The 17,404-nt window shown below is 37.9% G+C and overlaps 4 annotated features.

Annotated features, from left to right (window-relative positions):
• Positions 1,137-1,637: an enhancer, noted in NCBI's record as "H3K4me1 hESC enhancer chr7:20599105-20599605 (GRCh37/hg19 assembly coordinates)". NCBI's record gives its function as "activates a minimal SCP1, AML or CMV promoter by ChIP-STARR-seq in primed H9 embryonic stem cells {active_cell/tissue: H9 hESC(primed)}" and the evidence as "EXISTENCE:reporter gene assay evidence [ECO:0000049][PMID:30033119]".
• Positions 1,858-2,358: an enhancer, noted in NCBI's record as "H3K4me1 hESC enhancer chr7:20599826-20600326 (GRCh37/hg19 assembly coordinates)". NCBI's record gives its function as "activates a minimal SCP1, AML or CMV promoter by ChIP-STARR-seq in primed H9 embryonic stem cells {active_cell/tissue: H9 hESC(primed)}" and the evidence as "EXISTENCE:reporter gene assay evidence [ECO:0000049][PMID:30033119]".
• Positions 1,858-2,555: a biological region, named in NCBI's record as "Sharpr-MPRA regulatory region 1382".
• Positions 2,261-2,555: an enhancer, noted in NCBI's record as "tiled region #1382; HepG2 Activating DNase unmatched - State 4:PromP, and K562 Activating DNase unmatched - State 4:PromP". NCBI's record gives its function as "activates a minimal TATA promoter and a strong SV40 promoter by Sharpr-MPRA in HepG2 and K562 cells {active_cell/tissue: HepG2 | K562}" and the evidence as "EXISTENCE:reporter gene assay evidence [ECO:0000049][PMID:27701403]".

The following is a 17,404-nucleotide window of genomic DNA, read 5'->3' on the forward strand; positions in this document are numbered from 1 at the left end:
TGCAATCTTAATATATAACAGCTAATCTGACCAAATAAACTTAGATAGGCTTCACGTTCAAGGGCAGAGTTTTCAAGCTGATAAAAACATTCTGCGCACTAGTGGATGCACCTAGCTCTGAGAAGAATGTCAGTGTAATTGCAACTATTTATAGAATAAGCAGAGAAATTCATTCTGCTATAATATACAGTCTAATTTAAAATGTAGTCAATTCCTAAAAGAGGGTAAAAATTCTAAACTTTGAAATGATGCAACAGGAGGCTAGTGGGCTAATTTTGCTTTTGTATACAAAAGTTTGTGAGCATCTAGAAGGAAATATAAAGGGGTGCTCTAAGTTGCTAGTTATGTATCATGTACAATTTGTGAAAATCCACTCAGTGTACGTGAATGATTTGCATAAACTTTTCTGTTTGTATATTATATATCAATTAAAAGTGGCTCATTTGTTGTTTTTGTTTTGTTTTTAGTTTGAGGGGGAAAAATATCAAGTTCAGGGAAACTTTATCTGGGACACTAGAACAAACTCCTAAAAGGAAAGCTTGGAGTAACTTTCACAAAATTGGAAACTAGTTGGTAAGACAGTTCCAAGTATATTACTTATTGTAAATAAATATACAAGGTGCGATATACAAGAGGTGCACAAAAGCAAATAAAGTCAGAAATCACTGTATTTACCTAAAAGAAAATTTCACTGTAACTGCAGCCTTTAAAAATCAGTGTCATCCTTTAACCTGTATTCTAATCATATTACAGCTTTATCTCACATATGGTCTTCATTTGCAACACCTGGAAAGTTTTATATTTGTGCTTTTGCAATTTCAATCACTGATGCCTACGGCAACTACTCATAAAACTGTAAACACTGCACTTGCCTCTTTCAGTTATAAATAAAGAAGAAAAGTAATCGGATGCTTATGTCACAGGATTCTTAGGGTGTTTCTTTTCCAGCGGGAAAAGCTCTGTAACCGGTGGTGTCCTTGCCCGAGTTTTGCTTGAGCCTGCTGGGCTCATTCTGCCCACTCTGCCCGGCAGCCTGCGCTCACCTCATGCTACCAGCCCGGATCCCATGCCTGCTAAAGGTGAGCCACATGCAGAGTGGCGAGGGGTGTGTGGGTGAGCAAACGTGGGGTCCGGCCACTGTGCACAGCCAGGCACACTGGCTGCCGAGGGACACGCAGCTGTAGGCGCCAACACAGGTGTCGGCTCCCTGTGAAGCTGCGGCTGGACCAAGCATACTGCAAGCAGCTCCCGCTGCTGGCAATGGGGAACGTGGTGGCGCCCAGAAGCTTGGAGACTATAGGAACCGCAGAGTCCCAAAGAGGGTGTCACAGCCCTGGCTCGGGGAGCTCCTAGATCTGAGCTCCCTGAAGGGCCACAGCTCCTCTCCTTCTCTCTTCTCTCCTTCTTGTCACTGCAAGGCGGTGGGCAAGGGGCCTGTTTCAGCCCTGTTTGTGTTACAGCTCTTTTAGTCCCACCATCCCACGGATCCCAACTTCTTCTCCCATGCCCAGGAAGAATGAGGTATGCAGACAACTGGAGGGTGAATAAGGTGAGGAGGTGGTTTATTGAGCGACAGTACAGCTCTCAGGAGACCTAAAGCGGGTAGCTCTTATCCGCAGGCAGGTAGTCCCAAAATCTGCTCAGGCCTCAGCTGAGAGGAGACCCACAGTGTGTAGCTCCACTCTACAGGCAGTCTGTCCTGATGTCTTGCTCAGCCCTCAGCTGAGAGGAGACCCACAACGGGTAGCTCCTCTCTACAGGCAGGTCATCCTGGACATCTGCTCTACTCAAGTCTGGCTGAATCTGGGTGATTCTATGGGTTTCAGGTGGAAGGAAGGGTGTGCTGATTGGTTTATGAGTAGTCATGGGCAGGCTTGGAAAAAGCACCTTAAGTTCTCACTTCGGTGGGCAGAACTGGCAGCCCAGCCCTGAGACTTCGGGCCATCCCAGGCCCGAAGGTGGGGCTTCACCAGGCACCTGACCCTTTCTGCCCAGGAGCCTGTCTGCCTCCCACCCTCAACCTATGGCCACCAGCACCCAGGCTGTTTGTGACAAGGTGCCTGCAGGTCCACACCAAGCCACCCTCAGTCCCCCCTGGCCTCCCTCTTGTGCTCATTTGCACCCAAAGTCCAGAAGGGGCCGAGGAAGCAAGAGACTGGCATGTCAGTGCTGCCCCTAGCATGCGCACACCCGGCCAAGTCATGACAGCACCAGCACTCAGCCTCAACTTTGCTCTGAAATCAGAAAGGGGAGAAGCCAGGCAGGGGAAGCAGGCATTTCCAAGCTTGCAGGGGCAGGGGGCCTTCCCAGGCCCCCAAGAGCACAGGAATACCAGGTTCGCAGCCACAGCTGAGTGGCAGCAGCCGCGCCGGGGAGGGAGGGGCTCCCGCCGCTCCAACTAGGAAGGGGTGGGGCTTCTGCCTGTTCCTGGCTCCCGCTGGCTCCACGGAGCGTGTAGCCCTGCGTAGCCCTGGCCCCACCTCCCCAGCTGCAGACAGTGTCTTTGCAGCAGCCATTTCAGATGGGCCGCGGGTGCCGACACTTACTCCTCAAGCACAATGGAGAAAAATCTGAAATTGCACTTACTCAATATTTATGAAACAATCTAAGTTAAATTTTAAAGCATTCATCTTTCTTGTGACCCATTTTGCTGTTCTTTTCTCTTTTTTTTATGTATTTCACAGATACTTTCAGACATGAAACAACTTCTTTCAAACAACTTCTTTCATCTTCTATTCTTACTCTTTTGAATATTTTCCATTTACTAATACATTTTCAAGATGTTAATCCACTTAAAATTTTGGATTTCCATGTCACAGATAATTATTTAAGAGTAAGACTCTTCTCCACTTTATCCCCCACCACCAACTGATGCCATGAATTTTCCTGAGACACAGAAAATTGATGAATATTTTAATTAGTAGTTAATTCCCCTTTGAATGTGTAGCAGCTATGAAGTCCTAGGCAAGAACTGGGCCCAAATTTATCTCCTAAGTGATATATCATCACTCTTAGAAAACGTTTTAAGTAGTAACCTACGACATAAATTAAACAGATTACAGAAATCATTTACTTGTGAAAAAAAGAAAAGTAAAAGGCAGAGTTTGTGTACTGTGGAAAATTACAGATTTCGACATCCATTATCGCTTTCATGAATGAAGCCTTAAAGTCATTGAAGAGAAAAAAAATTTCCTGAGTATTTTCTAATGTTGCTGTTTGTTCCAACAGTTGCTTCAGATCATACAATCAATCCTTCATTCACTTTGTTTGTGAAACTAGTTACTCATGGTCACTCAATTTCCTTCATATTGAATCCTAACAGAGGCATTGACCAGGACTATTGTTCTCAAAGGTTAAAATACCCCATGAATGACTACGTCATTGCCAAAGTATGTCCAGGTCATGGAAACAAACTCAACAACATGGCCAAAGACTCCTGGAGGAGGGACGGAAGACCTGAATTTTGATCTGGTCTTTCTAACTAACTAAATGAGAAAAACTCAGCCAACTGTCCTATCTTGAGCCTCTGCCCTAAATATAATTTTATAAATAAAAAAGCACTGTCTAATGCAGGTTTTTCTTAGATGTGTTTCAAAGCACTAAACTGTTTCATTAAAATTTTGAGCAATTCTGAGATATACATCCCCTTCTTGGAGGTTCACAAGGAACATTATTAACATAGTAAAGTTTCTGAGAATTCCTGCAGTTCTGCTTAACTTTGTTCAACCCACACAAAATGTTTTACATGTTTTTGTAACCTAACACCCCTTACCCTCTGTGGAGCCTTCATTGAGAGTGCTGTACTGGTGATTTTCAAACTATGCTCTGTGGAATCCTTTTAGGGATTGCCAGAAAATGTGGTAAGAAGTGGAGAGCAGGAAGGTGGACAGGAAGCAGTCAGCAGGCAGGACTTTGGGACCCCAAACCCCAATTCAACCTTTTTACTCTGAGTACTCAAAATATAATATTCTTTCAATATAATAGATCCTTTAATCTTTAACAGATTTTTAATATATTTAATGAACTCTTTTAATCTATTTGAGGCCTCAAAATATAATATTCTAAAATTCTCTGACTTAGAAATGATTTATGTCTAGTATGAATTATCGTGCTGAGATTTTTATGAGATTTCACAGAAAAGCTCCACAGTGTTTCCAAGATAGTGTGTATTAGTCAGAGTTCTCTGGAGGGACAGAACGAATAAGATATATGTATAAATGAAAGGGCACAATCGGTTCTTGCAGTAGGTTGAATTATTGCTCATGATTATTCATTCCTGCCCAAACCTTGCTGTGCTTTCCTGGAGGCAGAATTTACTTCCTTGCCCCATTGATTGGGGCTTGGCCTTGTGACCCACTTTGGACAGTGGAATGTGAGTGTCTTACGTGCTTTTGTTGACCTCTCTTCATGATGAGACAAGCATGCCCCAGCTAGTGGGTATTCATCATCCAAGGCCCAGGAATTAGACGACATGTGAAGCCCAGTGAGACCAACAAAAGTACAGTCAATCCACAGCCTTCTGGTAACATGAGCAAGAAATTAACGTTTATTGTTTATTGTAATAAACATAGAAAAGTAATAAAATTGTAATGTTTATTGTAAGCCTCTGAAATTTAGGGGTTGTTTGTTGACAGCAGAAGCTGATGGCTACAATTCTAAATCAAGGGTCTGCAATATTACCCTTGAATAACTTTAAACTAGAAAATAAGATCCAAGAAAGAAGATGCTGAATTTATTAAGTTTTGTGATTAACTTATACAACTATGTTTAACATTCAATAATATTATCTTTTCTCTCTCTATGCCCAGATATCATTTTTCTCCCTCCAAGGATAAATGTTTTACTTTCCCATGATTCACAGAACAATTAGAGGTTAACAACAATGCCAGTAAAATTCATTATACATAGTTTTCCACCAAGAGAATCAAAGCCGACACTACTTTGGGGTTGAGATTTAATGAGAAAAATTTTAATGTGTATTGTCTATGCCTATGATTGTTTATAGATCACTTAATCAGGTCAAAATTAAAACTCAGCTATGCTTAATCAAGTTGTAAATCAAACAAGAGCCTTCCTACCAATACACATAAAAAGAAGGCCAGAAAAAAAAGCTATATTTATTTCATCCTAAAAATTAAATTGAAACCACATCCGCTAAACCAGGTACACAAGGAATGAGTAAACTTTTGCTTTACTCAAGTTCTTTAGATTTACAGGACGGTTATACAAAAACAGTGTCCCATAATGTATGGAATGACCATGGAATGATTCCACTTAATAGAAAGTACAGTCAGAAAAACACTTAAGAGAAAAGTCTACCAGTAAGGTATCCATCTACTAGGAAATCAATAAGGAAAGGCTTATGAAAGTAATCTGTTCTTACTGAGTTAACCATGCCCACAAAAGAGCCATAAAACCAGGAGCAAAATTATATAAAAACAGTAAGAGACAAAACAGTAGAAGGTAAAAATTTTCTAAGAACTGAATACTGATAATGAGTGTGATGCTTACAGTTTGTGATTCCTTTGAAAAATCATGAAAAAGGAATTTGTGATCCACATGGGAGAAATTTTTCTTACATAATTAAAAATAACATTAACTACTATTTATTAAGCACAGCAAATGGTTAAATGTAATCATGTAAGTAGGGCACAGCTATCTGGCACAGTACACGGCATGCCCTTTGTATAGAAGAAGACAGGAAAACTCTAAGAGTTCAAGTCACATGTTCTCACAACTATTAAAAAGTGGATTTTTAAAAAATCAACAAAATTGACAAGTCCTTAGCCAGATTAAGATTAAGAAGAGAGACAGAAAGAAAGAGACAGAGAGAGAGAGAAAGAGAGAGAGAGAGACGGAGAGAGAGAGAAGACTCTACTAAAATCAGAAATGAAAGAAGGGATAGTAAAAGCAATGTCACAGAAATAGAAAGGATTATAAGAGAATAGCATAAACAAATTAATACCAACAAACTGGATAACTTAGAAGACATGGATAAGTTCCTAGAAATACACACCCTATGATGACTGAAGCATAAAGAAATAGAAAATCTGAACAGACATATAAGTAGTAAGGAGGCTGGATGAATAATCAAAAGCTTCCTAATAAAGAAAAGCTCAAGACCCCATGGCTGCACCAGAGAATTCTACCAAACATTTAAAGAATAATTAGCAATAATCCATTTCAAACTCTTCCAAAAAAAAAAAGTAAAGAAGGGATATGCCCAAACTCATTCTATGAGGCTACTATTACTCTGATACAAAAGCCAGAAAAACACACTACAAGAACAGAAAACTGTAAACCAATATTTCTGTTGCATATTAATGCAAAAATGCTCAACAAAATACAGTCAGCTCACCTTATCCATGGATTCCACACCTACGGATTCAACAAACCATGGGTTGAAAATATTCAGAAAAGAAATATTCCGCAGATTTCCAAAAGAACTAAACTTGTATTTGCCACATGCTGGGTACTACACTGAATTCACACGAATGAAATGATGTTCAGGCATTGAATTAGGTATTGTAAATAATATAGAGATGATTTAAATTATATGGGAGGATATGCATAGATCATATGCAAACACTATACAGCATTTTATTTAAGGCATTTGAGTATCTGCAAATTTTTGGTGTCTACAGAATTTCTGGAAACAGTCTCCCATATATACCAAGGGACTACTGTGCTAGCAAATTAAATTCAACAGAACATTAAAAGGATTATATGCCACAACTAAGTGGAATGTATTCCCAGATTTCAACATACGAAAATCAACCAATGTAATATACCGCATTAATCAAGGATGCAAAGCACATTATCATCTCAAGTGATGCAGAGAAAGCATGTCACAAAATTCAACACCAATTCATGATTTAAAAAAACAAAACTCTCAACAAACCAAGAACAAAAGGAAACTACCTCAACATAACAAAGACCATAAACGAAAAGCCCACAGCTAACATCCTAATTAGTGAAGAAAAACCCAAATCTTTTTCTCTAAGATCCTGAACAAGACGAGGTGGCCTGCTCTCATCATTTTTATGCAACATAGCATTGGAATTCCTATCCAGGGCAATTAGGTAAGAAAACGAAATAAAAGACTTCCAAATTAGAAATGAAGAAGTGGAAGTATCTCCATTCTCAGATGAGATGATCTTATATGTAGAAAACTCTAAAGATTATATTAATAAAAACTGTTGGAACTAATAAAAGAATTCAGCAAAGTTACAGGATATCAAATCAACAGGTAAACTACATGCTAACAATAAACAATTCAAAAAGAAAACTAAGAAAACAATTCCATTTACAATCATGCCAAAAGAATGCAATACTTAAGAATAAAATAAGGAGGTGAAAGACTTCTACTCTGGAAATTACAAAACATTGATTTAAAAAATTAAAGACACATACAAATGGAAAGACATTTGGAGTGTCTTTCCATTGTTCATAGTTTATGACATGTTCATGGTTTGGAGGACTTAATATTGTGAAGATGTAAATACTACCCAAAGAGATCTACAGATTCAATGCAACCCCATCAAAACCCAAAGGTATTTTTATAGAAATAGAAAAAAAATTCTAAAATTCAGAAGAAACTACCAAAGACATTGAATGTCCAAATCCATCTTGAGAAAGAACAAAGTTGGAAGTCTCACACTTCTTAATTTCAAACATATGTAAAAGCTGCAGTACACACAAAGCGGTGTGGTACTGGCATAAAGACAGAAATATAGAACAATAGAATAGAAATTCCAGAAATGAACCATTGCATATATAGTCAGATGATTTTTGACAAAGGTGACAAGACCACTCAATAGGGAAAAAATAGTCTATTCAACAAATGGTGATGGGAAAAGTAGATATAAACATACCAAAAAAATAAAGTTAGACCCTTACGTTGTACCATATACAAAAATTAGCTCAAAATGAATTAAAGACCCAAAAGTAAGACCTAAAACTATAAAACTACTAGAAAAGAACACAGGAGAAAAGCTTCATGAGGTTGGATTTGGCAATGATTTCTTGGATATGATGCCAAAAGGACAGGCAGCAAAAGTAAAAATAGACAAATGGGAGTACAATTTCTGTGCATCAAAGGGCACAGTCAACACAGTGAAAAGACAACATAGGAATGGAAGAAAGTATCTGCAAATCATGTATCTGATAAGGAGTTATTATTATCCAGGAAGGATAAAGACAACAAAATAACTCAGCAACACCACCAACAACAAAAAACAAATAACTTGATTTTAAAATGAACAAAGAACTTGAATACGCATTTCTCCAAAGATGATATACAGATGGGCAACAAGCATATGAAAAGATGTTTGATATCACTAATCATTAGAGAAATGCACATCAAAACCACTATGAGATATCACCTCACTCCCATTAGAATGGTTACCATAAAAAAGTAACAAAATAACAAGTGTTGGCTAGGATGTAGAGAAACTGGAACCCTTATGTACTGTGTACAGGAATGTAAAATGGTGCAGTCACTGTATGAAACTATAGCAGTTCCTTAAAAAATTAAAAATTGAATTATTATATGACCTAGCAATTCTACTTCTGGGTATACATCCAAAAGAATTGAAAGCAGAATTTCATAGAAATATTCACATACTGGTGCTCAGAGCAGAATTATTCACCATAGCCAAGAGATGAAATCAACTCAAATGTCCATCTATGGATAAAAGGTTAGATACAGATAATGTGGTATATATGGATAATGGGATATTATTTAACCTTAAAAAGGAGAAAAATTCTGTCACAATGCTGCACCATGCACGAACCTTGACGACATTATTCTAAGTGAAATAAGCCAGTCCCAAAAAGACAAATGCTATCTGAATTCACTCACATGAAGAATCTAAGTTAGTCAAATTCATAGACACAGAAACTAGAACGGTGTTTGCCAAGAGTTTGGAGAGAAGGGGGAAGAAAAGAGGAGCTGTTTTTTAATGAGGATAGAGTTTCAGTTTTGCAAGACGGAAAAATTCTGGAGAACCAGTACAATATGCAGTTGCTTAATATAACTGATCAGAATGCTTAAAAACGGTAAAGATACTACATTTTATGTTATGTCTTTTCTTTTTTTTACATGGAGACAGAATTCAAATACAATGTTCATAGATGTTTTCCTGCAACATACACTGAAAGGAGAATGAAAGGAACAACAAGCAGTCCAGGTGGAATAAAAGAAGTGGGCAGATGCATCGCAAAGAAGCTAAAAACCTTGAAAAAAGATTAGATGAATGGCTAACTAGAATAAACAGTGTAGAGAAGACCATAAATGACCTGATGAAGCTGAAAACCATGGCACGAGAACTATGTGATGTATGCATAAGCTTCAGTAGCCGATTCGATCAAGTGGAAGACTGAAGAACAAATCAATGAAATGAAGCGAGAAGAGAAGTTTAGAGAAAAAAGAGTAAAAAGAAACGAACAAAGCCTCCAAGAAACATGGGACTATGTGAAAAGACCAAATCTACTTCTGATTGGTGTACCTGAAAGTGACAGGGAGAATGCAACCAAGTTGGAAAACACACTTCAGGATATTATCCAGGAGAACTTCCCCAGCCTAGCAAGGCAGGCTAACATTCAAATTCGGGAAATACGGAGAATGCCACAAAGATACTCCTCGAGAAGAACAACTCCAAGACACATAATTGTCAGATTCACCAAAGTTGAAATGAAGGAAAAAATGTTAAGGGCAGCCAGAGAGAAAGGTCGAGTTACCCACAAAGGGAAGCCTATCAGACTAACAGCGGATCTCTCGGCAGAAACTCTACAAGCCAGAAGAGAGTGGGGGCCAATATTCAACATTCTTAAAGAAAAGAATTTTCAACCCAGAATTTCATATCCAGCCAAACTATGCTTCATAAGCGAAGGAGAAATAAAATCCTTTACAGACAAGCAAATGCTGAGAGATTTTGTCACCACCAGGCCTGCCTTACAAGAGCTCCTGAGGGAAGCACTAAACATGGAAAGGAACAACCAGTACCAGCCACTGCATAAACATGCTACATTGTAAAGACCATCGATGCTAGGAAGAAACTGCATCAACTAACGAGCAAAATAACCAGCTAACATCATAACAACAGGATCAAATTCACACATAACAATATTAACCTTAAATGTAAATGGGATAAATGCTCCAATTAAAAGACACAGACTGGCAAATTGCATAAAGAGTCAAGACCCATCAGTGTGCTGTATTCAGGAGATCCATCTATGTGCAGAGACACACATAGGCTCAAAATAAACGGATGGAGGAACATCTACCAAGCCAATGGAAAACAAAAAAAGCAGGGGTTGCGATCATAGTCTCTGATAAAACAGACTTTAAGCCAACAAAGATCAAATGAGACAAAGAAGGCCATTACATAATGGTAAAGGGATCAATTCAACAAGAAGAGCTAAGTATCCTATATATATATATATGCACCCAATACGAGAGCACCCAGATTCATGAAGCAAGTCCTTAGAGACCTACAAAGAGAACTTAGACTCCCACACAATAATAATGGAAAATTTTAACACCCCACTGTCAACATTAGACAGATCAACGAGACAGAAAGTTAACAAGCATATCCAGGAATTGAACTCAGCTCTGCATCAAGCAGACCTAATAGACATCTGCAGAACTCTCCACCCCAAATCAACAGAATATACATTCTTCTCAGCACCACATTGCACTTACTTCAAAATTGACCACATAGTTGGAAGTAAAGCATTCCTCAGCAAATGTAAAGGAACAGAAATTATAACAAACTGTCTCTCAGACCACAGTGCAATCAAACTAGAACTCAGGATTAAGAAACTCACTCAAAACCACTCAACTACATGGAAACTGAACAACCTGCTCCTGGATGACTACTGGGTACATAACAAAATGAAGGCAGAAATAAAGATGTTCTTTGAAACCAACGAGAACAAAGACACAACATACCAGAATCTCTGGGACACATTGAAAGCAGTGTTTAGAGGCAAATTTATAGCACTAAATGCCCACAAGAGAAAGCAGGAAAGATCTAAAATTGACACCCTAACATCACAATTAAAAGAACTAGAGAAGCAAGAGCAAACACATTCAAAAGCTTAGAAGAAGTAACTAAGATCAGAGCAGTACTGAAGGAAATAGAGACACAAAAAACCCTTCACAAAATCAATGAATCCAGGAGCTGGTTTTTTGAAAAGATCAACAAAATTGATAGGCCGCTAGCAAGACTAATAAAGAAGAAAAGAAAGAAGAATCAAATAGATGCAACAAAAAAATGATACAGGGCGTATCACCACCGATCCCACAGACAAACAAACTACCATCAGAGAATATTATAAACACCTCTACGCAAATAAACTAGAAAATCTAGAAGAAATGGATAAATTCCTGGACACATACACCCTCACAAGACCAAACCAGGAAGAAGTTGAATCCCTGAATAAACCAATAACAGGCTCAGAAATTGAATCCATAATTAATACCCTATCAACCAAAAACAGTCCAGGACCAGAAGGATTCACCGCTGAATTCTACCAGAGGTACAAAGAGGAGCTGGTACCCTTCCTTCTGAAACTATTCCAATCAATAGAAAAAGAGGGAATCCTCCCTAACTCATTTTATGAGGCCAGCATCATCCTGATACCAAAGCCTGGAAGAGACATAACAAAAAAAAAGAGAATTTTAGATCAATATCCTTGATGAACATCAATGCAAAAATCCTCAGTAAAATACTGGCAAACCGAATCCAGCAGCACATCAAAAAGCTTATCCACCATGATCATGTTGGCATCATCCCTGGGATGCAAGGCTGGTTCAATATATGCAAATCAATAAACGTAATCCATCATATAAACAGAACCAAAGACAAAAACCACATGATTATCTCAATAGATGCAGAAAAGGCCTTTGACAAAATTCAACAACCTTCATGCTAAAAACTCTCAATAAACTAGGTATGATGTGACATATCTCAAAATAATAAGAGCTATTTATGACAAACCCACAGCCAATATCATACGGAATGGGCAAAAACTGGAAACATTCCCTTTGAAAACTGGCATAATACAGGGATGCCCTCTCTCACCACTCCTATTCAACATAGTGTTGGAAGTTCTGGCCAGGGCAATCAGGCAAGACAAAGAAATAAAGGGTATTCAATTAGGAAAAGAGGAAGTCCAATTTTCCCTGTTTGCAGATGACATGATTGTATATTTAGAAAACCCCATTGTCTCAGCCCAAAATCTCCTTAAGCTGATAAGCAACTTCAGCAAAGTCTCAGGATACAAAATCAATGTGCAAAAATCACAAGCATTCCTACACACCAATAACAGACAAACAGAGATCCAAATCATGAGTGAACTCCCATTCACAATTGCTTCAAAGAGAATAAAATACCTAGGAATCTAACGTACAAAGGATGTGAAGGACCTCTTCAAGGAGAACTACAAACCACTGCTCAACGAAATAAAAGAGGACACAAACAAATGGAAGACTATTCCATGCTCATGAATAGGAAGAATCAGTATCGTGAAAATGGCCATACTGCCCAAGGTAATTTATAGATTCAATGCCATCCCCATCAAGCTACCAATGACTTTCTTCACAGAATTGGAAAAAAACTACTTTAAAATTCATATGGAACCAAAAAAGAGCCCGCATTGCCAAGTCAATCCTAAGCCAAAAGAACAAAGCTGGAGGCATCATGCTACCTGACTTCAAACTATACTACAAGGCTACAGTAACCAAAACAGCATGGTACTGGTACCAAAACAGAGGTATAGACTAATGGAACAGAACAGAGACCTCAGAAATAATACCACACATCTACAACCATCTGATCTTTGACAAACCTGACAAAAACAAGAAATGGGGGAAGGATTCCCTATTTAATAAATGGTGTTGGGAAAAATGGCTAGCCTTATGTTGAAAGCTGAAACTGGATCCTTCCTTACACCTTATACAAAAATTAATTCAAGATGGATTAAAGATTGAAATGTTAGACCTAAAACCATAAAAACCCTAGAAGAAAACCTAGGCAATACCATTCAGGACATAGGCATGGGCAACGACTTCATGTCTAAAACACCAAAAGCAATGGCAACAAAAGCCAAAATTGACAAATGGGATCTAATTAAACTAAAGAGCTTCTGCACAGCAAAAGAAACTACCATCAGAGTGAACAGACAACCTAGAGAACAGGAGAAAATTTTTACAATCTACCCATCTGACAAAGGGCTAGGATTCAGAATCTACAAAGAACTTAAACAAATTTACAAGAAAAAATCAAACAACCCCATCAACAAGTGGGCAAAGGATATGAACAGACACTTCTCAAAAGAAGACATTTATGCAGCCAAAAGACACATGAAAAAATGCTCATCATCACTGGCCATCAGAGAAATGCAAATCAAAACCGCAATGAGATACCATCTCACACCAGTTAGAATGGCGATCATTAAAAAGTCAGGAAACAACAGGTGCTGGAGAGGATGTGGAGAAATAGGAACACTTTTACACTGTTGGTGGGACTGTAAACTAGTTCAACCATTGTGGAAGACAGTGTGGTGATTCCTCAAGAATCTAGAACTGGAAATACCATTTGACCCAGCCATCCCATTACTGGGTATATACCCAAAGGATTATAAATCATGCTGCTATGAAGACACATGCACACATATGTTTATCGTGGCACTATTCACAATAGCAAAGACTTGGAACCAACCCAAATGTCCGTCAATGATAGACTGGATTAAGAAAATGTGGCACATATATACCATGGAATACTATGCAACCATAAAAAATGATGAGTTCATGTCCTTTGTAGGGACATGGATGGAGCTGGAAACCATCATTCTGGGCAAACTATCACAAGGACAGAAAACCAAACACTGAATGTTGTCATTCATAGGTGGGACTTGAACAATGAGAACACTTGGACACAGGATGGGGAACATCACACACCGGGGCCTGTTGTTGGGTTGCGGGAGTGGGGAGGGATAGCATTAGGAGATATACCTAATGTAAATGACGAATTAATGGGTGCAGCACACCAACATGACATATGTATACATATGTAACAAACATGCACGTTATGCACATGTACCCTAGAACTTAAAGTGTAATAAAAAATAACAATAATAATAAAAAGAACTACTGCTAAGATCACAAAAAAAAGAAGTGGGCAGATGAAGGACAGCTCGATAGGTAAATTTGTTAAATGACAGTTAACAGTGATAGAAAGTGAGAGATGTTGAGTAAGTACCAATATATACAGGGGCCTGTAGTTCAAATGCCAGAATATGTACACTTATAAGACATTTAAATGACTCAAAAATGTGTTTCCTTCAAAGACTTAGTACTTACTTCATTATCACTGTGTTAGTTTTCCAAGGCTACCATAGCAAAATACCACAGACTGGTATTTTCTGGCAGTCCTGGGGGCTAGAAGTCCAAGATCAAGGTGTCAGCTGGTTTGTGTTCTCCTACATCCTCACTCCATGGCTTGCAGATGGACACCATCCCCCGTGTCCTCACAGGACCATCTCTTTAAACACATGCATCTCTTACGCCTCTGTATATCCTAATTCCCTCTTTTATAAGACCACCAGTCAAATTGGATTAGGATCCCACCATAACAGCCTGATCTAACTTTCTTTACCTCAAATTTCTTGTCTCCAGATAGTCATATTCTGAGGCATACTAGGAGTTAGGACTTCAATATATGAATTTGGGAGGGAAACAATTCAGTCCACAGCAATCGCACATTGAGTTGAGTTGACTTTCCTAGTTACTTATGCATGCTATCAATCAGAGAAAATAAGAGACTATAATCCTTTTATGTTTTTGCATCACCATCCACTTATCCTTCCAACCATATTTTTTGAGGCATTTACTATTAACATTCACAGTTTTACATATTATACTTTTCTAGATATCCAGCCTTTTTTATTTGGTTGGCTGGTTCATTGGTGGGCTGTTTTACGTTTTATTCAATAGCAGAAAAAAAAAATTAAAAAGCAGGCCGTCGAAGCCAAGTGAAACTTTGGAAGAACATCTTTATAATTCTGGAAGTTTATTCCCAAGAGATTTTATAATACTGTGGGGCAAGTCTGAAAGCAAAACTTTTCCTCAAAAAGTTTTAATATTCTGGACTCCAGATTTACTCTAGACTGGGAAGTCCCTAAGTATTTTAAAATAAAATAAAAGAGAGTTACAAACATTTCATAATGTTTAAAAAATATTCTAGATGAAAATGAAATTAAATTTGTCCCCTGGGGACCAGATATGTTTTCTTTTTTCCCAGGTTCATTTTAAAGTCATTTCTGTAAGATCTTCAACAGCCATACATTTTCCCTTCTGAATTTTTACCTGATTTACATTCATAAGAAAACTATGTTCTTGCATGCACTGATTAAATTTCTCAGTTGGCATCTGACATCAGTAAATATTTACAACAAACTAGCTGAATAAGCTGTATTAACTGAATACACACATATTTTATTTCTGACAAATTACAGATCAGGAGCTGTCCGTAATTCAAGGGCCTAATTGGTATGTTTAAGTGTGTATTAGTATGTGTGTTTATTTGTTGTTTTAGCTTCTTTTAATGAAAATTTACAGTATTGAGAAAAAACACAGCTCTCTATGAAGGGCTATGTATTTAATATATGTGCTTTTCAGTAATATGAGATTGGGTACATTTTTTAATCAGTAAAATGGACTAATATGGGATAATAATTTAGAACAGTATCTAAAGGGAGGAGAAAACAAGATTTTCGAATTTACATAATATTTGAGAGAACCGTCTCCCATACTAAGGACATCTTTGTTTAGATAGATTTAATGTTTCTAACTATACTTTTTAAAGTATAATCAAATTCATAAATTGTACACCGCAAATACTCTTTGTAAAGGCCCAAGTTTTTCTGCCTTTATTTATCTTGCAAATATTCATCTACACTGAATGTTCTTTTAAAAGTTACATATTACATATTTTTATTTGTAGATCAAAGTGCTGAATAAACAATTATCTCTCTGATACACCAATGACATCCTTTAAATATAGCTCACTACATTAAAAACCATTCAAGTTCAATGAGAATATCAGCTATCAAATTGAATATCAATAATAGTTATATTCAGATGAGGGGATCAGAATGTTAAATTTCAAATGGATTACTAGACTATCAAACTCTTCTCCATCATCCTGGAGATACTGGCACATAATACACTTCTTCTTCTCTGAAAAGTGCAGTAAACAAAGTATAGTCATGGTAGGAATTTAAAATGATACATCAAGGAAATATTGATGTTGACCCAAATGTTGCTCTCTTTTTTAAACTTTCTTGAAGACCCAGAAGAACCAATATTTTATGACTCCCAGCTTAGATTGGCCCCCCACGTCTATTAAAATAGCCTAAAATGGCAAGTAAAGGGGTAGGCAAGTTGGAGATAGGTTTTATTTAATAGTCAACTTCTACCTAACATTTGGAACATTGATACCTTGTTGGCTGCTGGGATCTTCATAACGAGATAAGTGTGCGCGCACTGATACCAGGAAGTGTTCCAGCCAGTCTGAAACTATGAGACGAGCAGCTCAGGACAGCTAGAATAAGCCCTCATTCTCTGTGTAAGACTTACACAAGGCAGACATTCTTATCTCAGAATTCCTTCTCTGCCACCTGATGCACTTCTTGACTATTTTTTTCTTATCATTAATTTTACGGCTTTATGAAATGTAAATTAATTTTAGTATCAGATTAGGAAAAACTGAAATGAAAACATGGAGTCACATATAGTGCATCAGAGGATCAAATAAGGATACTTTTAGGTAGTTTTTGCCATTGCTTTCTTTCTTGAGTGAGGAGTTGATTGCATTCATAATTGATTTATGTGTTTCCATTTCACCATTGAAACATTACCAGGTCATCAACGATTCTGCCTTTGGTCAGAAAGCTTCTCCTGCTGTCACTCTTATCTAATCTTATAATGAAAAAAAATGGCATGTTTTTGGATAAAAGCTGGCTTTCTGACTGCATTGGATGGTTGGCAGGAACTGGAAATAAAACAAGCTATCCAACAACCACATTACTAAGAAGGCAGGCTCCTTTTACAAGATTTATTCCTAATTCTTTTGGGGTGAGAGAGCAAAATATGATAAGAACGAGGATTGCTTCTGATACTAGTTACACTCTGCTCGCCTCTCTCTTGTGCTCTGTCATTATCTCATTAATTCCCTGGGACCCAGCAAACACATTTATGTGGATGGTTCTGGCCCAGCTCCTGCTCTGCCCTCCAGATCAGCACTTCAGCCTCACACTTGACACATCCACCTGGATGTTCTGCCAACAATGCTGGCTCCAAAGTGTGTGCACCTCTGCCCTCTCCCTGCCTCCCTTT

The sequence above is a fragment of the Homo sapiens genome, chromosome 7 (assembly GCF_000001405.40).
Source record: "Homo sapiens chromosome 7, GRCh38.p14 Primary Assembly".
NCBI classification, from domain to species: domain Eukaryota; kingdom Metazoa; phylum Chordata; class Mammalia; order Primates; family Hominidae; genus Homo; species Homo sapiens.